The 22,997-nt window shown below is 49.9% G+C and overlaps 1 protein-coding gene across 1 annotated transcript, besides 3 other annotated features; it reads right to left on the bottom strand.

The window, feature by feature from the left end:
- Positions 2,151-2,959: an enhancer, noted in NCBI's record as "H3K27ac hESC enhancer chr3:195466177-195466985 (GRCh37/hg19 assembly coordinates)". NCBI's record gives its function as "activates a minimal SCP1, AML or CMV promoter by ChIP-STARR-seq in primed H9 embryonic stem cells {active_cell/tissue: H9 hESC(primed)}" and the evidence as "EXISTENCE:reporter gene assay evidence [ECO:0000049][PMID:30033119]".
- Positions 6,645-7,145: an enhancer, noted in NCBI's record as "H3K27ac hESC enhancer chr3:195461991-195462491 (GRCh37/hg19 assembly coordinates)". NCBI's record gives its function as "activates a minimal SCP1, AML or CMV promoter by ChIP-STARR-seq in primed H9 embryonic stem cells {active_cell/tissue: H9 hESC(primed)}" and the evidence as "EXISTENCE:reporter gene assay evidence [ECO:0000049][PMID:30033119]".
- MUC20 (mucin 20, cell surface associated) lies at positions 8,714-21,287 on the bottom strand. Its single transcript, NM_001282506.2, has 4 exons — positions 21,182-21,287; positions 15,693-17,585; positions 12,526-12,617; positions 8,714-9,115 (listed from the first exon to the last, which is right to left on the bottom strand). Exons 1-4 carry the CDS (start codon positions 21,255-21,257, stop codon positions 9,047-9,049), a joined length of 2,130 nt encoding a protein of 709 aa, NP_001269435.1. The 5' UTR covers positions 21,258-21,287; the 3' UTR covers positions 8,714-9,046.
- Positions 15,526-16,027: an enhancer, noted in NCBI's record as "H3K27ac hESC enhancer chr3:195453109-195453610 (GRCh37/hg19 assembly coordinates)". NCBI's record gives its function as "activates a minimal SCP1, AML or CMV promoter by ChIP-STARR-seq in naive H9 embryonic stem cells {active_cell/tissue: H9 hESC(naive)}" and the evidence as "EXISTENCE:reporter gene assay evidence [ECO:0000049][PMID:30033119]".

Here is a 22,997-nt window from a genome sequence, read left to right as displayed (position 1 = left end):
GGGTGTGGTGGCGGGCGCCATTACTACTACCAGTAGTAGTAATCCCAGCTACTCGGGAGGCTGAGGCAGGATAATCACTTGAACCCAGGAGGCGGAGATTGCAGTGAACTGAGATCGCGCCACTGCACTCCAGCCTGGGCAACAGAGTGAGACTCTGTCTCAAAAAATATTAATTAATTAATTAAATATACAAATAACTCTTACAACTCAACAATAAGAAAATGAACAACCCAGTTTTTTAAATGGGTAAAAAAACTGAACATACATATCACCAAAGAAGACATTCACATGGCACATAAGCATCTACAAAGATGTTCAACATCGTATGTCATTAGGGAACCGCAAACAACGCGAAACCCATGCACACCCGTTAGAATGACCACAATCGCCAGGCATCGTGGCTCACAACTGTACTCAATACACACCTGTTAGAATGACCACAGTCACCAGGCACTGTGGCTCACACCTGTACTCCCAGCACTTTGGGAGGCTGAAGCAGGAGGATCACTGGAGCCCAGGAGTTTGAGACCAGCCTGGGCAACAAAGCAAGATCCCATCTCTACAAAAAATTAAAAAATTATATGGGCACGGTAGCATGTGACTGTGGTCCCAGCTACTCTGGAGGCTGAGATGGCAGGATTGCTTGAGCCCAGGAGGTTGAGGCTGCAGTGAGCCGCGATCCAGCCTTCACTCCAGCCTGAGCAATGGAGTGAGACCCCGTCTCAAAAGAAAAAGAAAAAAAGAATGATCAAAATCCACAGCACTGAAAACTTCAAATGCTGTTCAGGATGTGGAGCAACAGGAACCCTCCTTCATTGCTGGTGGGAAGGCAACATGGTACAACCACTTTGGAAGACAATTTGGCAGTTTCTTTTTTTTTTTTTTTTTTGGAGATGGAGTCTGGCTCTGTCGCCCAGGCTGGAGTGCAGTGGCACGATCTCGGCTCACTGCAAGCTCCGCCTCCCGGGTTCACGCGATTCTCCTGCCTCAGCCTCCTCAGCAGCTGGGACCACAGGCGCCCGCAATTTGGCACTTTCTTACCAAACTAAACCATACTCTTACTATGCAGTCCAGCAATCACACTCCTTGATATTTACCCAAAGGGACAGAAAACGTTTTTGTCCACACGAAAACCTGCACATGGAGGTTTATAGCAGCTTTATTCATAATTTATAGCAGCTTTATTCATAATTGCCAAAACTTGGAAGCAACCAAGATGTCCTTCAGCAGGTGAACGGGTAAATAACCTATGGTGCATTCAGACGATGGAATATTATTCAGTGCTAAAATGAAATGAATTACACAGCCATGAAAATACATACAGAAAACTTAAATGCATATACTATGTGAAAGAAGACAATCTGAAAAGGCTATTTACCTTACGGTTGCAATTATATGACATTCTGGAAAAGGTAAAACTATGGAGACAGTGAAAAGATCAGTGGTTGCCAGGGGTTGGGGATGAATAAGTGAAGCACAGAGGATTTTTAGGGCACTGAAACTACTTATTTTTCTGTATGATGCTACAATGGCAGAAACATTTATGTTATTTTTTGAGATTGAGTCTCACTCTGTCGCCCAGAATGGAGTGCAGTGGTGCGATCTCTGCTCACTGCAACCTCCACCTCCCGGGTTCAAGCGATTCTCCTGCCTCAGCCTTCCATGTAGCTAAGACTACAGGCATGCGCCACCACACCCGGCTAATTTTTGTATTTTTAGTAGAGATGGGTTTTCGCCGTGTTGGCCAGGCTGGTCTCGAACTCCTGATCTCAAAGAGATCCACCCGCCTCCACCTCCCAAAGTGCTGAGATTACAGGCATGAGCCACTGCGCCGGGCCAGCCGATACGTTGTTGAATAGAGAATGGAGAATATCCAACGCCAAAAATGTGCTGTCAACTCTGGACTTTGATGAGGATATGTTGACGTGGACGCATCGACTGTCACACGTGCCACCTGGTGCAGGGCGTTGGTGGTGGGGGAGGCTGGGCGTAGGTATATGTGTGTGTGGCAGGGGGCATATGGGAACTTTCTGTATTTTCCACTCAGGAAAATTTTGCTGTAAACCCAAAACTGCTCTAAAAAGCAAATTTTATTATTTAAAAGATGATTTTAAAATTAATATATTTAAATTTTTAAAAGAATTAAGCACACATGGCACTAACGGGGCGGCTAGGGAGCCAACCATCCATCAGTTGTGAGGAAGGGGGAGGCCTGCAGGCATGAAGGAGCTGGTGAGACCGCCCTCACCTGGCTGCCAGAATCCCAATTCCATGAGGACCTTGTCATGTGACTCAAAGTCAGAGACAGCAGAAGGTCCAAAAGTTACAACTTACCTGAAACCCACCAGGCACTATTGGCAAAGGATTCACCCCCACCATGGAAGGCACGTGAGCGCTGTGGGTGCCCTGTGTCATCAACTGCGGAGAAAGGAAACCAGAAAGAGCAAAAGCAAAGCAGCGAGTGGGGAGCAGAACCGCCCCAAACCCAAGGTCCCTCCTCCCCTGTCCACCTTCACACACTAAGCAATGGAGGGAGCGGGAGGACAGAGCCTGTGTTTGATGGACAGCTCCTCCCGAGGCAGAGGAGAGGCCCAATACCTGGGAGAAGGCTGGGAGCTTGCTACCCCTGAAGGAGACCCGCAGATTGGACGGAAGAGAGGAGCCAGGGACCCTCGTGGGAGAGGATGCATTAAAAGTAGGGCTGTCTGGGCCAGGTGTGGTGGCTCACACCTGTAATCCCAGCACTTTGGGAGGCCGAGGCAGGCAAGTCACCTGAGGTCAGGAGTTCAAGACCAGCCTGACCAACATGGTGAAACCCTGTTTCTACCAAAAATATAACAAATTAGCTGGGCGTGGTGGCGCACACCTGTAATCCCAGCTACTTGGGAGGCTGAGACAGGAGAATCCCTTGAAACCAGGAGGCGGAGCTTGCAGTGAGCCGAGATGGCACCACTGCACTCCAGCCTGGGTGACAGAGTGAGACTGGGTCTCAATAATAATAATAATAATAATAATGAAAGTAGGGCTGTCCAATTTAGCAAATGAAAATACAAGCAGCCCAGCTTAAATTTCAGATTAACCACAAATAATTGTTTTAGTTTAAAGATATCCCATGAACTATTTGGAACATTCTTGTATATTTTTAAGTGTTCACCGTTTATCCGAGGTTCTCATTTAAGTGGCTGTTCTGTGTTTTCTTGGTGAGCCCAGTCAAAGCCGCTGAGGCCCTGACAGCACGGGAGGAGGAGGCGTCCCAAGAAAGGAGAGGGCACCTGGGGACACCCTTCTCTAGCTGGACAGGGAGCTGCCCCTTCACGAGTGGGACAGTCAGAAGGACAAGGACACAACCATCCATTTTCGTCAGCTCATTCCCTGGCTACAAGTGGTCTGGATTCTGTCGCTTTGGCCCCTGGAATAAAATAACTGACTGACCCTTCCCCAGGGTGCCAGGTGTGAGTTTGCTTGGAAGAGAGAAGGGTGCAGACCCCCGACCCCTGCTGGTGGCAGCAGCTGGGACACCTTCAGTGGGCTCGAGAGTGGCAAAAGGAGCTATCTGGGGCAAAGCTTGGCCAAAGACACAGACTCCCTTGCCCATTCTTCCCTGCTTCAAAGGAGCCTTCCAGAAACTCCCCACAGGCCTGAAGTAAGTGGCTTAATGACTGGGATGATGAGTGATAGGTCACTGGCATGATGCACCCCTTTACGCATTTACTGGCACCAGAAAGTGATATGATGGCCACTATTAAAGTGTGGGGCGCACCCACGGAATTCGTTTCCATTCAAATGCTTTGCATACTTTGGTGGCCAATCCCCCTCTCAAGGGATGAAGGCAGGACTGGCTGTGGCAGAAGCTTCAGATGAGGTCTCTGGTCAGAGAAGTTCCACCTCACGTTGTCTTCATCATTGCTGTGGAGTTTCGCCGTCTCAGAGCTCACACCAAGTCACAGGTGACTTTAGACAGGCCATCTTGTTTAGGTCCATGCTTAAATTTGTCTTTATAAAACGTGGCATTTTTACCTCATATACACACACTTTAGAATCTTAAATAGCTGGAGAGTTTTCTCCAGGGACTTCTGGCTCCTGTTAGCTTGGTAACATTACTCCTGCTAACTTTGGTCATCTCCAGTAATACAGGCGTGCACACACACACACACACACACACACAGTCTCTCTTCCTCTTTATTGTCCCCCCCCAACCCACCCACATGCAATCATAATGATACATTTTAGTTCCCAAATGCTTCTAATTTGTGTTGTTCTTGTTGACGTTTTGAGACACGGTCTCGCTCTGTCACCAGGCTGGAGTGCAGTGACGCAATCTCAGCTCACTGCAACCTCCGCCTCCCAGGTTCAAGTGATTCTCCTGCCTCACCCTTTTGAGTAGTTGGGATTACAGGCACCTGCCACTATGCCCAGCTAATTTGTGTATTTTTAGTAGAGACAGGATTTCACCATGTTGCCTGGGTTGGTCTCAAACTCCTGGCCTCAAGTGATCCGCCTGCCTCGGCCTCTCAAAGTGCTGGGATTACAGGCATGAGCCACCGCACCCAGTCTCTAATTTGTGTATCCCATATTTTACAGATTTTTTAAGCTAGTCAAATTTTACAATTTTTTTACTTCCAAAAATAACAGTAATCAGCATCATATGTACATGTCCGTGTCCTCATATGTAGTAATTAAGATTACATGAGCCACTGTATTAAGTATCACCCACTTGAGGAAATACAAAGCAAGAGAAGAAAACCTATTTAAGAATTGGGTTTATATAACAGTGGTGTTGTCATTTTTGTAAACTGCTCTCCATTCATGCCAAATTATAGAGCAGCTTCGGAACAATTATATCATTAAATTTACGTTTTGTGTGATTTCAGTACTGAATGCCCTTTTCTTAACTTTCAGAGCCCACTGAAAGTTTCGGGGCTCACGTGGCCCACCATTGTCCCAGTCACTCAGCAAACACATCAGTGCCCTCATGTGGAGGGCTCCACGCCAGCTTCTGTGATGACAGAGGTGAATACTACCGGCTGCTTGTCCTCGAGCACGTACAATGTAACAAACTTGTAAATAAAATAAGCACATTATAATACAGCATGTTAAGTGTTACAACAGAAACACAAGAGACCAGAAAATCAGCACCTCTGTAGGGAATCTGATGAAGTCATGGAGAGGTGCCATCTGAACTGGGCTTTGAGGAATGAATAGGAGTTTTCCAGGTGAAGGGACCAGGGGGAGGAATCATGATGGGCAGACGCTCCAGATGAAAGCAGGTGTGCCTGGGGTTAGCGAGCTGCTTCCTGTGCAAGCAGCATAGGATATGGAAGATGGGGCCGTGACCTGGAGCTAAGATAGTTGGCTGAGGCCATATCATGAAGACCCTTGCATACGAAGGTGGGGATTCCATCCTGGAGGTAGGAACAGGAGTAGCTTTGATTTGGGAGAGGAAAGCTCTGCAGATGGTGTAAAAGGTAGGTTGGAGTTAAAAAAATTTTTTTTAAGTTCCATTTTAAGAAAAAAGAAGATAAAATAACATTTCATGAATTTTTTTCTGTCCTAATAAATATATGTTTCAACAATGCTTCTGTAGCTTGCGTAAAATAACGCTATAGTGTTTAAGCAAACTGTTACATGGGGAGATTTGAGGTTACTTGTGTTTTGTTTTGCCTTTTTCATCTATGAGTTATTGTAAACAGTTAGGCACAGATTCTAAATTACTTCCTTAAGATAAATCAGTAACGAAACTGCTGAGTTAAAGGTATGTACATTTTTCGGGCTTTAAATAAATCAGTTAAATTGTCCTCCGGAAAGGTTGTACCAATTTCTTCCCTACTAGGAGTGTTTAAGAATGCCCGTTTGCCCAGCACCCAGTATAGATCAGTACAGACATACAATAAGCAATATCTCACTGTATTAATGGACCTGTTTTTGCTACTGAAGTCACACGTTCTTTTTCATGGGGGGTGGTGGCGGGAGGAGAGGACATTTGTATTTCTTCTTTTGTGAATTACCTGTTGCCATTTACCCATTTTTCTACTGGTATGTTTGCCTTTTTATTTTCTTGCGCTGTAAGAGTTCTCTATATATTAAGGGCATCCTGTTGTTGCTATATGCGGTGTAAATAAGTTCTTTCAACTTATTATTGCTGTACGTGTCTAACTTCAATCCCTGGGAGAAGAGACAGATTTGAATCCTCCACGGCACATAGCTCAGTCTCTCTTCTGCGGCAGCTGCCCAACATATATGCCAAGATGAGCGAATTATTTTTGTCCGAGCTACTTTATGAAACTCATTCTGCCCCACTCCAGAAATGGAAGGGATCTGTCAAACGTTCAGACTCCCCTTGCTCACAGCAGCATCAACATTGTCTCCTTGTTTCCTTCATTCATCTAACAAATGTTTACTGAGCCCCTGGTATGTGCCAGGTACTGTTCTTGGCACTAGGGAAACCATAATGGGCAAAATCTTTCATTCTAGTTGGAGGACTCAGATAATAAAGAAAACAAAATATGTATGACGTTCAATTGTGATCAGCACTATAAAGTACGTCAAAGTACAGAAGGGGAGACTGAATTTGTAGGCAGCATGGTCATGGTAGACCTCGCTGAGAAGGGGCATGAAGGTGGAGGTAGAGGGTTTAGACAAGTGGATATGTAGAGGAGAAGGCTTCTGAGCAGACTAAGCAATGCACAGAAAGGTCCCAAGGCAAGAGCAGGCCCAGCGCATTCAAGGGACAAGAAAGACGTCCGTGTGGCTGCGGTGCAGTCAGCAAATTAAGGAGGCAGGGGAGGGGCGCAGGTCGTGCACGGCTTTGCAGCTGTTGTCGGAGCTTTTCTTCTGAGTGAAATGGGAGGATTGGAGCAAAGAAGTGGTGTGGTCTGCCTTATGTTGTAAAAAGACAGCCCTGGCTGACACACTGGGACTAGACTGGGGTGGGGGCTGAGCTGGAAACAGGGAGACCTGTAGTAGTGCAGGTGAGAGATGATGGCATCGTGGACCATCTCGGTGGTAGCACTGGAGATGCTGAGGAGGGGCCACATTCTGGGCACAGTTTGATGGCCTTAGAGCCAGCAGAATTTCCTGGTGCAAAATGTGAGAGGGGAATAAAGACGGTGCCGAGGATTTCGGCCTGAGCACCTGAAGGATGCAACTGACGTTAACTGAGATGGGGAAGATGCAGGTGGGGCAGGTCCAGAGGAAAAGATCAGAACTTCGATTTTAGAAATGTGGAGGCCAGGAGCAGTGCTCATTAACTGGAATCCCAGCACTTTGGGAGGCCGAGGTGGGTGGATCACTTGAGGTCAGGAGTTTGAGACCAGGCTGGCTGACACGGTGAAACTCCGTCTCTACTAAAAATTCAAAAAATTAGCCGAGCATGGTGGTGGCACCTGTAGTCCCAGATACTCAGGAGGCTGAGGCAGGAGAATCACGTGAACCCAAGAGGTGGAGCTTGCAGTGAGCTGAGATCACGCCACTGCACTCCAGCCTGGGTGACAGAGCCAGGCTCCTTTCCATCTCAAAAAGAAAAAAAAAAAGAAAGAAATGTTGAATGTGAGGTATGTATTTCATCAACATCCAAGTGGAGAGATTAAGAATTGAAATGAATACACAGTATACATTAATAATAATAGCTGTATATAAGGCTGGGCACAGTGGCTCATGTCTGTAATCCCAGCACTTTGCGAGTCTGAGGCAGGAGGACTGCTTGAGCTCAGAAGATCGAGACCAACCTGCTCAACATGGTAAAGCCCCTTTTTTACAAAACAAAGTACAAAAATTAGCCAGCTGTGGTCCCAGCTCCTCAGGAGGCTGAGGTGGGAGGATCACTGGAGCTGGGAGGTGGAGGCTGCAGTGAGCCATGGTCGCACCACTGCACTGCAGTTTGGGTGAGAGTGAGACCCTGTCTCAATTTTAAAAAATAAATCGTTGTATCTAAGAGGTGGGATTATAGAAAAGTTTTTCTTTCTCCTCTTCCCACTTCTTACTTTGCTTGGTCTTTGGAATATTTCAAAATTTTGAAATCATAAACAAGTTTTACTTTTATTTTAAATTTATTTATTTATGAGACAGAGTCTTGCCCTTTTGCCCAGGCTGGGGTGCAGTGGTAGGATCTTGGGTCACTGCAACCTCTGCCTCCCGGGTTCAAGTGATTCTCCCGTCTCAGCCTCCTGGGTAGCTGGGATTACAGGCACCTGCCACCACACCCAGCTAATTTTCGTGTTTTTAGTAGAGACGGGGTTTCACCATGTTGGCCAGGCTAGTCTCAAACTCCTGACCTCGTGATCCACCGGCCTCGGCCTCCCAAAGTGCTGGGATTACAGGCGTGAGCCACTGAGCCTGGCCAAGTTTTACTTTTATAATAAAAAGTAAACCATATTAATTTTTTAAAAAAATAATAGCATGTAAGTTATAACATATAAGAGGAATAATTGAGGCTTGTGTCCAGAACTTGAAATTTAAATTTAGGTCAATTCCACATTCTCTGCGATCCCACTGCAGGCCAGACACTCTGCTAGTTCAGGGGATACTGAGATGAACAAAGGTGGTCCCTGCCCTGCTGCAGCGGGCTGTTCGACAGGCTCCAGGCCCGTCTCAGTAAATGCTATCATCAAAGTCCAAACCAAGACCTGGGGGAGTAGAAGGAGGAGGTAGCAGTGAGACTATACACAATCCCTGTACTATAAAAATGGCGAAAGCATGCAGATCAATAGACAGCCTCTGGGCCACACTGAGTGAATTTTAATGCAGGATGGAAGCACACAGATGGGTGATCAGGTCTCTCTTTACTGAAACACAGAACATGTGCCAAGGTGAGTCCAAGGACACCTCTGGGAACAGGTGAAGCCCCTCCCCACACATACACTCCGGTGGATGTGAGCGAGGGTCCTGTTGCCACATCTGGGGTCAGGGGCTTGGACATGCTGCCCTTCATGGGAACCTTCTGGGTACCTCTCAGCACAGTAACGCAGCTGCAGTCTGTCGGTGGGGGCCCAGGCTAGGGGCAGCACCCTCTTTTGGCATACGGGACATGCCTGGCTGCAGCTGATGTCCGTTAGCCTCTCCTGACACGCAGTAAGGAGACCTGGAAGTGAGGCGCGTGGGCGTGGAGTTCCCGGTGGAGCTGGAGAGCAAAAGAGCCAGCTGTCCTTTCAGCCCATCTGGCCCATGAGCTCGCCAGAGGCAGAGGACAGGAAGGGACACTGGGGCAGAGTGCATGCGGAGGACGGCAACCCTTCCTGGGCCTCCTACATGCTGGACACAGGCTGGTGCCTCACACACATTATGTCATCTAAACCTCACAGCAACCTTATAAAGCAGGTGTTAGGATCCTCATTTTATAAGGGATGAAAGTCGCATAGAATAACTTATCCAAGATCACACAGTTGGGAACTAGAATTCACACCCAGATCTAGCTGGTTCCTAAGCTCATTGTCTAATCCCCGAGCCCAAACTGTTGGGCTGTCCCCGGACGAGAACTGATGCCCAACCCCATGTGGCCTGGTGCCTGCGCCTCAGCTGCTTGACCTGCTCCTGATCTCGCGGTTTCTTTCCGATTCCTGAAATCATTTCTGGTTTGGGGGCTTAGACCTGAGATTCAAAACTGGCTTCCCGGCCGGGTGCGGTGGCTCACGCCAATAATCCCAGTGCTTTGGGAAGCAGAGGCAGGTGGGTCACCTGAGGTCAGGAGTTCGAGACCAGCCTGACCAACATGGAGAAACCCCATCTCTACTAAAAATACAAAAATTAGCCAGGAGTGGTAGTGTGCACCTGTAATCCCAGCTACTAGGGAGGTTGAGGCAGGAGAATTGCTTGAATCCGGGAGGTGGAGGTTGCAGTGAGCCGAGATCGTGCCATTGCACTCCAGCCTGGACGACAGAGCGAGAATCTGTCTCAAGAAAAATAAAAGAAAAGAAAAGAAAAAGAGAAAGAAAAAGAAAAAGAAAAAGAAAACTGGCTTCCCAGCCGGACGCAATGACTCAACGCCTGTAATCCCAGCACTTTGGGAGGCTGAGGTGGGTGGATCATGAGGTCAAGAGTTCAAGACTAGCCTGGCCAAGATGCTGAAACCTGAAACTCCATCTCTACTAAAAATACAAAAATTAGCCAGGTATGGTGGTGCGGGCCTGTAATCCCAGCTACTCAGAAGGTTGAGGCAGGAGAATGGCTTGAACCTGGGAGGCGGAGGTTGTGGTGAGCCAAGATCGCACCACTGCACTCCAGCTTGGATGACAGAGTGAGACTCAGTCTCAGAAAACAAAACAAAACAAAACAAAACAAAACAAAACAAAACAAAAGCAATTGGCTTCCCTCTCCCACAAGGATTCACACTCGCTACTTTGATTATCACATGCCGGGGGCATTTGTCACTTATTTGGCCATCGGGTGTCGAGCCCCCGTGCCATGTTTAGGGAACTCCTCACAGTGGGAGTCACGATTGGCCTCACTGCTGCTAAGAGAACTCCAAGGACACAGACATCCCTTCTTCCCGTCCCCTGGCACCTGGCTGTGGGCTCATGGGAGTACAAGGGCTAAGCTCAGCCTATCAAATGTTCCTACTCAGGACTTTGGCTCTGGAGCAAAAAGTCCAGTGAGACAAAAAGGCAGCGAGAACCTATGTGAATGTGTGTGCAGGCCACGTGATGCCCCTTGGCTGTGGCAGCATCCAATAGTGACTGACCAGCAAGAGGGACAGTGTCCCAGCCAGCCTGATCCCACTGTCTGGACCTCAGAGCTCCTGGGGGCCCTCCTGCCTATTTTCCAAGCCTGCTGTCCTGGCATTGCTTTGATTCTATGCACTCTGGGACGCTGCCAACAAATCCCCCTTTTACTTACGACAGACAGAGGTTTTCTTTCGCCTGCAACAAAGGATCCCACTCTCCACGGACATATCTTGCTTCCCTCTGCTAAGGGCAATCATTCCACCTGTCCAGCCTGGCTATGAACTCTACACCTGGCATAAGACCCCCAGCCAGCATCTCTGCCAGGTTTACCCTTGCAAGGGATGACAGGAAGCCTGAGCCACTTTTCAGCAGTGTGGCACCCATTGACTGTGAGAGGTGCTGAATGCAAGCTTCAGGTATTAGCAAGGGCACTGTCCCATTGACTGTGAGAGGTGCTGAATGCAAGCTTCAGGTATTAGCAAGGGCACTGTCAAAGAGGCAATCCACATTAGACTGTGCACTGGGCCTGTTTTCACGGTTACATCTGTGAGCAGAGCTTAGACACTTCCCATCATGCCCCATCTGCTACTTTGTACCACACATTAGGAGAACAACCCACCCCTCAGTGAGGCCAGGCCCGTGACATCTGCACTGAGCTGACCCAGTCTAACCTCCAACAAGCCACACCATCCCCATCCTCAAAACCCTGACCCCGGAACTTTACCATTGGAAGTTCTATCCAGTGGGTTTTAGGAGAATTTTCCCAACTTGTACAAATACATCCCAATCATGGTCCTCATCTAGAGTATACATCTCTGCGGTTTTTTCTGCCTAGCCTCCCTATTTTCTTGGGGCTCATCCTTCCTCTATGGGATCCTGACTGGGTTGTCAGTCATGGTGACCCTTGCAGGCCATGGAGACCTGCACTTCCCCAGATGACATGAAAATTTGGGGAGAGGGGGCCGGGTGCGGTGGCTCATGTCTGTAATCCCAGCACTTTGGGAGGCCAAGACGGGTGGATCACGAGGTCAGGAGATTGAGACTATTCTGGCTAACACGGTGAAACCCCGTCTCTACTAAAAAAAAAAACATAAAAATTAGTTGGGCGTGGTGGCGGGCGCCTGTAGTCCCAGCTACTTGGGAGGCTGAGGCAGGAGAATGGCGTGAACCCAGGAGGCGGAGCTTGCAGTGAGCTGAGATCGCACCACTGCACTCCAGCCTGGGCGACAGAGCGAGACTTCGTCTCAAAAAACAAAAAGAAAGAAAGAAAAAGAAAAAAGAAAAGAAAATGTGGGGAGATGGAAGTCCCTTGTGAATCTATGGCTAACAAGGCTGCCTTTTCATACACATGAAGAAAGACTCTGAAGAATGAAGGGAGTAAAGCTAAGACAGGGAAAGAAAGAGAAAGTCCCTGTGATGGCGCTGGAGCTGCTGGATCCAGCCGTACTGAAGCTGAAGAGACACTTGTAGGTTTCTCAGACCTTGCCTTTTTTTTTTTTTTTTTTTTTTTGCATAAACTGCCCTGACTTGGGTTTCTGCCACTTGCAACCAAGAGTCCGACCTACCCTCCCATCAGTATCACTGACCTTTGCCTCAGAGGCCAGAAGGCCAAGCTTCCAAGGACCAGAAGAAACTGGGGGCTCTAGGAGTCACATGTTTACATTGCAGAGAAGGAAATGAAGAACTCGGAGAAGGCAGGCAGAAGCAAAGCCAGGCAGAGATCCTCAGATTCAGCTCCCAATTCTCCGTAAGAAACGAGACTCCCTTCCAAGCGCGGTAGCTGCTCTTCTGTGTCCTGCGGGTCTTCCCTGCAGCCCCTGCGAACCTCGCCCCTTCCTCTACTCCCCTGGCCCGGAAAGTGCCCACTCACCTGCTGCATCAGCCTTTCTGCCACTCTGGGGTCAGTGAGGTCTTCCGGGGAAGCCACACTCAGCCGCAGGAGGAGGAAACCTCCATTTTCACCTGCAAATGGAGAACAGTAAGATGAAAATCAGGGCTGGGCGCAGTGGCTCACACCTGTCATCCCAGCACTTTGGGAGGCAGAGGCAGGTGGATCACCTGAGATCGGGAGTTTGAGACCAGCCTGACCAACATGGAGAAATCCCGTCTTTACTAAAAACACAAAATGAGCCGGGCATGGTGGTGCGTGCCTGTAATCCCAGCTACTCAGGAGGCTGAGGCAGGAGAATCGCCTGAACCTGGGAGGCGGAGGTTGTGGTGATCTGAGATCGCAGCACTACACTCCAACCTGGGCAACAAGAGCGAAACTGTCTCAAAAAAAAAAAAAAAAAAAAAGAGGAGGATGAAATAGTCACATATATTTGCTTCCGTATGTACATTTCATGTGCAGAAAATTACACACAAGAGACAATCTCACGGGTTACATGTGTGGAGAGAACTGGGTGGGGGCACAGCCAGGGGAGAAAGGCATTTTATGGTGAACCTTTTCGTACCTTTCCATTTCAAATCATATGAATGTCTTATCTAATCAACAAATAATAAAGTATTTTTCTTTCCAGGGAAAAGAAGGAGCGATCAGACTGTCACTGTGTCTCTGTAGAAAGGAAAGACATGAGACTCCATTTTGAAAAAGACCTGTACTTTAAACAAGCTTTGCTGAGATGTTGTTAATTTGTAACTTTGCCCCAACCTTGAGCTCATAAAAACATGTGTTGTATAAAATCAAGGTTTAAGGGATCTAGGGCTGTGCAGGACGTGCCTTGTTAACAAAATGTTTACAAGCAGTATACTTGGTAGAAGTCATCGCCATTCTCTAGTCTCAATAAACCAGGGGCACAATGCACTGTGGAAAGCCGCAGGGACCTCTGCCCTTGAAAGCAGGTTATTGTCCAAGCTTTCTCCCCATGTATAGTCTGAAATATGGCCTTGTGGGATGACAAAGACCTGACCGTCCCCCAGGCTGACACCCGTAAAGGGTCTGTGCTGAGGTGGATTAGTAAAAGAGGATCTCCTCTTGCAGTTGAGATAGAGGAAGGCCACTGTCTCCTGCCTGCCCCTGGGAACTGAATGTCTCAGTATAAAACCCGATTGTACATTTGTTCAATTCTGAGACAGGAGAAAAACCACCCTGTGGCGGGAGGTGAGACATGTTTGCAGCAATGCTGCTTTATTATTCTTTACTCTGCTGAGATGTTTGGGTGGAGAGAAACATAAATCTGGCCTACGTGCACATCCAGGCATAGTATCTTCCCTTGAACTTAATTATGACACAGATTCTTTTGCTCACATGTTTCTTGCTGACCTTCTCCTTATTATCACCCTGCTCTCCTACTACATTCCTTTTTGCTAAAATAATGAAAATAATAATCAATAAAAACTGAGAAAACTCAGAGACTGGTGCCGGTGCAGGTCCTTGGTATGCTGAGCGACGGTCCCCTGGGCCCACTGTTGTTTCTCTATACTTTGTCTCTGTGCCTTATTTCTTTTCTCAGTCTCTCATCCCACCCGACTAGAAATACCCACAGGTGTGGAGGGGCAGGCCACCCCTTCACTTTCCAGAGCAGTTTAGCTACCATCTTTAACCCTGTCAGATGGGGTCGTGTTACCCACCTCCTAAGGCTGTTTTGAAGGTTAAATAGAGGAGATAACATATGCAAAGCTGGTGGCACACTGCCTGGCATCATAACATATGCAAAGCTGGTGGCACACTGCCTGGCATCAGATAACATATGCAAAGCCGGTGGTACACTGCCTGGCATCAGATAACATATGCAAAGCTGGTGGTACACTGCCTGGCATCAGATAACATATGCAAAGCCGGTGGCACACTGCCTGGCATCAGATAACATATACAAAGCCGGTGGCACACTGCCTGGCATCAGATAACATATGCAAAGCTGGTGGCACACTGCCTGGCACCGGAGAGAACGTTCTGCTGGGGCCAGTGCTTACTGGGTGTGAAACATGTTTATATCACCCCTGCCTATAACATGAAAGATATTCAATAATATCTTTATGTATTGAGTGGTTGTGATTAATATTTGTATTCCCACCTCCCCCAGAAAGGTGGTAACAAGCTGCGGATACACAGAGATGAGGCCCAAGGGCAGAGTGACAGGAAGTGGAGGTGGAGGCTACAGGCTGACCAGAAGCTGGACTGACCAAGCAGCCTCTGACAATGAACTTCTCCCCTGAGAAGTCCCTGTTGCCTCAGAGATGTAGCTTTAAACTCCCAAGCCTTCGCTGTATTTGCTTATTTTATCTTACCTTTTTTTTTTGAGACGGAGTTTCACTCCGTCTCAGCTCACTGTAACCTCCACCTCCCGGGTTCAAGTGATTCTCCTGCCTCAGTCTCCCAAGTAGCTGGGATTACAGGCGCCCACCACTGCGCCCAGCTAATTTTCATATTTTTAGTAGAGATGGGGTTTCACCATGTTGGTCAGCCTGGTCTCGAACTCCTGACCTCAGGTGATCCGCCGGCCTCTGCCTCCCAAAGTGCTGGGATTACAGGCATAAGCCACCGCTCCAGGCCTGTATTAATTTATTTTAAGTCACTATCTATGGCATAAATCCCAGGAAATGCATCCAGCAGGCCCCACTTTCATGGGGTCCCAGCCTGTCAGAGAGCAGCAGCTTGGGCCTGATGCCTGCCTGCTGCTCCTCTGTGTGGCTATGGCTGGAATAGAAGCTTCCAGAGCTGCTCAACAGTGCACTTCACAGAAGGTCAGAGCTGGACAGGACTTCAGTGCCCATTCCAACCCTCTCCAAATACAGGTGGAGAAACTGAGGCCCAGAGAGGGACAGGGACTTGCCCAAGGTCACTCGGGTTGTTACAGGCAGAGCCGAGACCGCAAACCATTTCTCCGGACTTCCATCCCCACCCCTTTCCATACACAACCCTCCATCTGCCTTTTCCTGATTTCGCCAAGAACCACTAGAAGATCACGAAGAGGCAACATCAGGAGCAGGCTCTGAGTAGGCTCCAGATCCTTCCCTCCTCTCCACTCCTCAAGTGCGGAGACGTCCTGGAAACTCCGCATCCCAAATCCCCGAAGATCACCAGCAGGAGCCACTTACCTGCACTCACGTCTGTGGTCGGCCTCGTCCGGGCAGTCGTGGGCGTGGCTGTTGGGGGCTTCATCGTGGTCTTCGCTGAGGTTGTGATCTTGGCTAAGGTGCTGTTCGTCCCTCGGCTGCTGTTGGTTGTAGTCGGAGGGACAGAAGGAAGAGGGTCCCTGCTGGTGGGGAAGGGCCCCTTGGTTGCGATGTCCATGGTCGGTGTCTCTGAAGGGGTGAAGTTCTTGAGGGCGGCTTCCGAGGGGCTGTAGGAGGAAGCAGAGCTCCCAGCAAAGGAAGTTGTTTTGCCCACTGCTGACCCAGCCTCTATGGAGACCGGAGCTGCTCCTGAGACTTTGACGTAACTTGGTGTCTCAACAGAGAGGGCTGAGGTTTCTTCAAGGGGATTCCTGCTAACTGTGACCAGAGCTCCACTGAGGGTCGTGGCCCCGGGTGCTGTCACTTCTCTTTCTGTGGCGCTGTTAGTGGGGAGTGGGGTCCCAACCGTGGCATCAGGTGCAGCTGACTCTGTGGTGCCGGCTGTGGACAGGGTCTCGGCAGAGGCTGTGACCTCAGTGATGTGTGGTTTTGCTTCAGTGGAGTCAGGCAGAGCTGGTGGATCGGAGGTGGACGAGGCCTTCACCCCTTCCGTGGGGATGAGATCTGTGTCTGAGGCCCCAGGGATGCTGGAAGTCGTTGTTTCTATTTCTGTGATGCTGCAATTAATAACCTCGATGTTTGTGACAGTCACCAGGGCTTCAGCGAGGAGAGTGACGTCAGATCCCGGGGACCATGAGGGGGTGATGACTGGATGGGGGCCGTCGGAAGAGGCGCTGCTCTCTGAGGCCCGTGACGGGGTGATGACTGGATGGGGGCCGTCGGAAGAGGCGCTGCTCTCTGAGGCCCGTGACGGGGTGATGACTGGATGGAGGCCGTCGGAAGAGGCGCTGCTCTCTGAGGCCCGTGACGGGGTGATGACTGGATGGGGGCCGTCGGAAGAGGCGCTGCTCTCTGAGGCCCGTGACGGGGTGATGACTGGATGGGGGCCGTCGGAAGAGGCGCTGCTCTCTGAGGCCCGTGACGGGGTGATGACTGGATGGGGGCCGTCGGAAGAGGCGCTGCTCTCTGAGGCCCGTGACGGGGTGATGACTGGATGGGGGCCGTCGGAAGAGGCGCTGCTCTCTGAGGCCCGTGACGGGGTGATGACTGGATGGGGGCCGTCGGAAGAGGCGCTGCTCTCTGAGGCCCGTGACGGGGTGATGACTGGATGGGGGCCGTCGGAAGAGGCGCTGCTCTCTGAGGCCCGTGACGGGGTGATGACTGGATGGGGGCCGTCGGAAGAGGCGCTGCTCTCTGAGGCCCGTGACGGGGTGATGACTGGATGGGGGCCGTCGGAAGAGGCGCTGCTCTCTGAGGCCCGTGACGGGGTGATGACTGGATGGGGGCTGTCGGAAGAGGCGCTGCTCTCTGAGGACAGGCCCTTAGCTTCTGTGGAGGTGTGAGCCAATGTCAATATGTCCATTGTGAGTGTCTTTGCCTCTTCAGAGCTGTCATCGGTGCAAAGGGTGTCAAAGATGGCTTCCCTGGGATCACTGCCTGTGATGGTCTGAACTGTGGTCATTCCAGCTCCCTCGGGGCTGCCACTGGCGGCTGATGTCTCCACGGAGGTGGCGATCAGCACCATGAAGTTGGGAGATGTTTTTGTGAAACTCCTGGTCTCTCTTGCAGGGGAAATTCTCTTGGCTCCCCTGGTCTCTGCTTCTGGAATGGGGCCGGCTGGGGTTGAGGCCCTAGAAGAGGTCTCAGCGCTCAGCGTTTGAGTTTCCAGAGCGGCGTGGCCCGGTGCTAGAGTCATAGCGGGCACTTCTGTGTCGTCCGTTGTCATCGCAGTGTCTGCTCTGCGGGTGCTGGGGCCTGTGTTGGTTAAGACTGACTTGGTGAGCCTGGGTTCCAGTGGACTTCACACAAGCTATTGCGTTTACACCCTGGGCACTTCTGGGAGGAGGGTGGGGCAGGGGAGTGCCGTTACCTCATTTTTCATCTACATAAGCGAACAAGAAGGAGGCAGTCCTGGGAAGCCCAGGCCTGTGTGGCAGCCATGGAGCTGGGGTTGCCATGACTGGTGTCCTCTGAAACCCTGACAACTCACTTGGGGCCAGCAAGCCCCAGGATCTGCTGGCTATCGGCCTGCGTCTTTAAGAGGGGATGTGTGGGGCCAGCGTCCACCTTCCAGGGTGAGCCAAGAAGGCAGACCAGCGTCCAGGACTCGCAGAGCTTTCTGAACCTCTGTCCCCTTCCCCGGATACTTTTCTCATCCAACACATAGTTCCCCATGGAAGTAAAAACCCTTAAAAGACGAGAAAGGCCTATGATTGTGCCTTTCGGGGTAGCTGGGTGGATTGAGGCGGGGGAACCTCCAGAGACAGGGTGGGCAGTGCTGCTGCCAAAGCGAGGGAGCCGGCAGAGTCCTTGGGGCTCCAGCAAGGGAAAGACGGCACCCCCCACCCTGCCGAGGCCCCTCCTGAATGAGGGCTGAGAACTGCAGGGTTGGAGCCTGGGAACCATGGAAACCGTGGCCAGGCATTTTCCACAGGACACCGGGAGACCCTGAGGCAACACCTAGCTTTTCAGAGAGCGGCTGCCAGCACTTCTGCCCAGAGCAGAGGCCTGTTCCCTTGACTGGCCCTGAGGTGGGAGGAATGGGAGTCCCCGAGGGAGGCTACGGTAGGATATCTTCCCTAGAGACAGGGTCTTGCTCTGTTGCCCAGGCAGGTCTTGAATTCCTGGGCTCAAGCGATCCTCCTGCCTCAGCCTCTTGAGTAGTTTACTACAAGATCTTTTCTGGCCTGAGAAAGGGGGCCTCCCCTGTCTAGAGGGAGATCGGGCTCTCCCTGTGAGTGGGCCAAGGAGCCTCTTGGAGAGGGTTTCTAGATTTAGCAAATAAAAATACAGGGTACTCGGTTAAATTTGAACTTGCATTTCAGATAAACGACGAATAACTTTTTAGCATGAGTATTTCTCATGCAATATTGGCTACATACTTACACTTAAAAAAAATTGTTACCTGAAATTCAAATGTAACTGGATGCCCTGTGTTTTATCTGGTAATCCCAGTCTTGGAAGGAAAAGGATCAAATACGAACCCCCTAATTCTCTGAGCCTTCTTGGTCCAGCCTACACAGCTGGAAGCCCAAAGGTGGCGCTCTTGGAGTCTGACCTCCCCTGGCACAGGGTTTGAGATGGTCTTTACCCAGCTCCACTGGCCCAAAAGTAGCCCATAGACCCAAAAGGGGCCTAGCACCTCTCCCCAGGGCATCAGGATGGGGCCCCAGGTCCCCAACTGGTTGTCCTGTGGACCTCAGGGAATGACGACGCAGGAGTCAAGAGCCTCGGTTGCAGCTCCCGCTGTGCCGCCCACGACTGGCTCCGGGGTCAGATGATCTGCTGGTTCAAATCCTGACTCAGCCTCCTACTAGCCAGGCCAGTCTCTAGACCCCTCCCAGCCTCCATGTCCTCACCTGAGAAAACAGGGTCACAATACCTGCCTTGCCAACGTGATGAGGACCAGCGGAGAAGGTGAAAGGGCTTATATTCCAAAGCCCACAAGGTAAGCATCCCTCCCTATGGAGTCCTCTCCCAGGCCACTGGAAAGCACGCATAGTTGATCTGACTATAGTGAGGAGTGCGGGCTGCACCCCCAGGCAGTATAGGCGAGTCCCGGGCACCCACTCTCATCCCTGGTCCAGTGCGGCCCAGCTGCACACACAAATCTCACTTTTGCAGGAACTGTTCGTCTGCCTTCATAATACAGTTTCTTCTCCCCACTTCAAGCCTGAGATCATTTCTTTGAGCCTTCTTGGTCCAGCCCACACAGCTGGAAGCCCAGAGTGGTGCCCTTGGAGCCCGACTTCCCCTGGCACATTTTCTGGCTTATCCAGGAGCCCCGGGGTGTCCTTTCTGCTGTGAAACCTCCTCATGCTCCCCAAGCCCACAGCCTCTCGGGTCCAAGGGGGTCTTCTCGAATACAGCAAATCCCAGCCCAGCCCCTCAGTAGCTCTGGAACACTGCGGCTCTCCTGGTACAATCTTCAAATCTGGTGGAGAGGAAAGCGTGTGGACTTGGGACCCTGAGTTGGAGAATCTGCTCTCTGCCCTGTGACCCTGGCCAAGTCTCTCAGCTCCAAGCCTGCATTTCCGCACCTGTAAGGTGGAGCTAACGGGACACGTGCAGCGCAGACCAGGCCACGGTGAGCACAGGCAGGAGGCCACGGGGTGCAGTGCTCAGGCCTGTGAGGAGTCAGATTCTGGCTCCGAGGAGTTGTTACTGGATGCCCAGAAGCACAGTGGCCTCACCCTTAAAGCAGTGGAGGTGGGGGGTGGTAAAAACAGGGCCGATCTTGCAGGGCCGTTGTGAGGATTAAAAATACAATGTATGATAATGATGCATCAAAGTAGGTTCCTCAGTCCTATCAAATGTGCCACTCTGGTGGGGGACGCTGATGATGGGGGAGGCTGTGAGTGGTGGGGATGGGAACTCCAGACTCTCCACTGCAGCTTTTTTTTTTTTGAAACATAGTTTCACTTTTGTTGCCCAGGCCAGAGCGCAAGGGTGCGATCTCAGCTCACTGCAAACTCCACCTCCCAGGTTCAAGCAATTCTCCTGCCTCAGCCTCCCGAGTAGCTGGGATTACAGGCACCTGCTACCACCCCCGGCTAATTTTGTATTTTTAGTAGAGACGGGGTTTCTCCATGTTGGTCAGGCTGGTCTCGAACTCCTGACCTCAGGTGATCCACCCACCTCAGCCTCCCAAAATGCTGGGATTACAGGTGTGAGCCACCACGCCCGGCCTCTCCACTCGAGGTTTAGAGGGAGCATAGAACTAAAAAAAAAATAAATCCTTTTCTATTTTTTAATGTATGTGATGAGTTTGGCACAACTCCTATTAGCGACAGGTCAGGGTTCATTCCCGTCTTTCACAAAAGCCCTGCCTGTCAGCATCCACCCTTCCCAAGCAGTTTGTGGCAGTTGGACTTTTCACACGAAATCTGTATTTTGAAGGAAATCCATGCTAGGTAATAAACTGGGAGGAGTCAGAATCTTGTTAAGCCACATTCTTCAGCTTTCTGCACAATGATCACCAGCTGGCACCTCCCTGCACCCCCGCTCCGTGCCCCACTTACTGTCCCACGTTCATAAAGACAAACTCTCAGCCATCCCTTACGATGGCAGCGTCATGGTTGATTAGCGTGTACTGCAGCGCCAGGCACGCTTACACTCACACACATCGTCATGGTTGATTAGTGTGTACTGCAGCGCCATGCACGCTTACACTCACACTGTCATTTGCACACTCTTTATCAACAATAATAGCACTTCACAAGTAGCACTGTGGTTCATTATAATCAACCCGAGAGAGCCTGCCCTTGCCCATGAAGGGTGGCTCATACTGAAATTCACTCCCAGAGCCCTACTAGGGGAGAGGCCCACCAGGCCCTTCTAGGCCTCCTTACCTGCAGAGCTCCCAGAGACCCCAACCTCCCAGCAGAAGAAGAAAAGGGGCAGAGCCAGACCCCAGAGACAGCCCATCCTAGCCGGCCACCGCTGCTCCACAGAACTGCTGGCTGTCTCTCGCGGGTACCTTTTCCTGCTTCCTCAAACCAGGGAGGAGGGGCAGCCTCCTGCCCAGGTGTGTGACCAGGTGATCACAAATGTGCAGGCTGAGGGCTGGCAGGTTGAGGCTGTCAGCAAGCTGACCCCCCTGCCTTCCTTGCCCGGTAAACACTCCACTGAAATTTGATTTGAAGATATGGAATCACTAGCTTCTTTTTTTTTTTTTGAGATGGAGTCTTGCTCTGTCACCCAGGCTGGAGTGTACAGTAATGAGATCTCAGCTCAATGAAACCTCTTCCTCCCGGGATCCAACAATTCTCCTGCCTCAGCCTCTGGAGTAGCTGGGATTATAGGCGCGCACCACCACGTCGGGCTAATTTTTGTATTTTTAGTAGAGATGGGGTTTCACCATGTTGGCCAGGCTAGTCTCAAACTCCTGACCTCAGGTGATCTACCTACCTCAGCCTCCCAAAGTGCTGGGAGTACAGGCATGAGCCACTGCACCCAGCCAAGTGCTTTTATTTTCTTAAGCCAATTAATTAGAGCTCTTTTATATATTTTCAGTAGCAAAACACTGTGTACACAACAACACATAAATACACAGATGTATTAGGTATGCTGAAAGAAGTTCATCTTATAGATTCATAAAGAGCTTTTTTCTTACACCTTCAAATTCTTTTTTACTTTTTTTTTTTTTTTTTTTGAGACAGAGTCTCACTCTGTTGCCCAGGCTGGAGTGCAATGGCTTGATCTCGACTCACTGCAAACTCTGCCTCCTGGCTTCAAGTGATTCTCCTGCCTCAGCTTCCTGAGTAGCTGGGATTATAGGCACCTGCCACCACATCTGGCTAATTTTTTTTGTATTTTTAGTAGAGACGGGGTTTCAACATGTTGGCCAAGATGGTTTTGAACTCCTGACCTCAAGAGATCTTTGCGGCTCAGCCTCCCAAATGCTAGGATTACAGACGTGAGCCACCGTGCCCAGCCACACCTTCGAATTCTTGATAACCTGTTTTACTACTCTAAGCGGTTGTCAGCTAAATAGCCTTGAATTTGCATTTTAAGGAAACTGAGGTGAAAATCGAATAGCAAAATTTACATCATAACGTATGGAGAGAAAAAGTCTGGTGTGCTGGAGGGAAATTAAAACAGATTTAATTGCCAATTAAACATAAAATTATAGAAATTATAAAGGCCTTTTAAATATATACACACACACAAAGATCCTATAGCTTTTACTTCAGAAATTTAGCCATGAAAGCTGGGCGCGGTGACTCACGCCTGTAATCCCAGCACCTTGGGAGGCCGAGGCGGGCAGATCACCTGAGGTCAGGAGTTGGAGACCAGCCTGACGAACATGGAGAAACCCCATCTCTACTAAAAATACAAAAAATTAGCCAGGCATGGTGGTGCATGCCTGTAATCCCAGCTACTCGGGAGGCTGAGGCAAGAGAATCACTTGAACCAGGGAAGAGGAGACTGTGGTGACCCAAGATCACGCCATTGCACTCCAGCCTGGGCAACAAGAGTGAAACTCTGCCTCAAAAAAAAAAAAAGAAAAAAAAAAAAGAGAAAGAAAAGAAAAAAAGAAATTTAGCCATGAAATAAATACAAATTCACCAGTTTACAAACAGAAAAACTATCTGATCCAAACAGTGTTTTTTATCTTAATAGAAAAATAACAGCAAATTTAAAGCAGGCAGAGAAGAAACTAGA

This window comes from Homo sapiens, chromosome 3, assembly GCF_000001405.40.
Source record: "Homo sapiens chromosome 3, GRCh38.p14 Primary Assembly".
NCBI classification, from domain to species: domain Eukaryota; kingdom Metazoa; phylum Chordata; class Mammalia; order Primates; family Hominidae; genus Homo; species Homo sapiens.
Note: the sequence above shows the minus strand (reverse complement) of the source record. Positions and strands in the feature narration are given on the sequence as shown.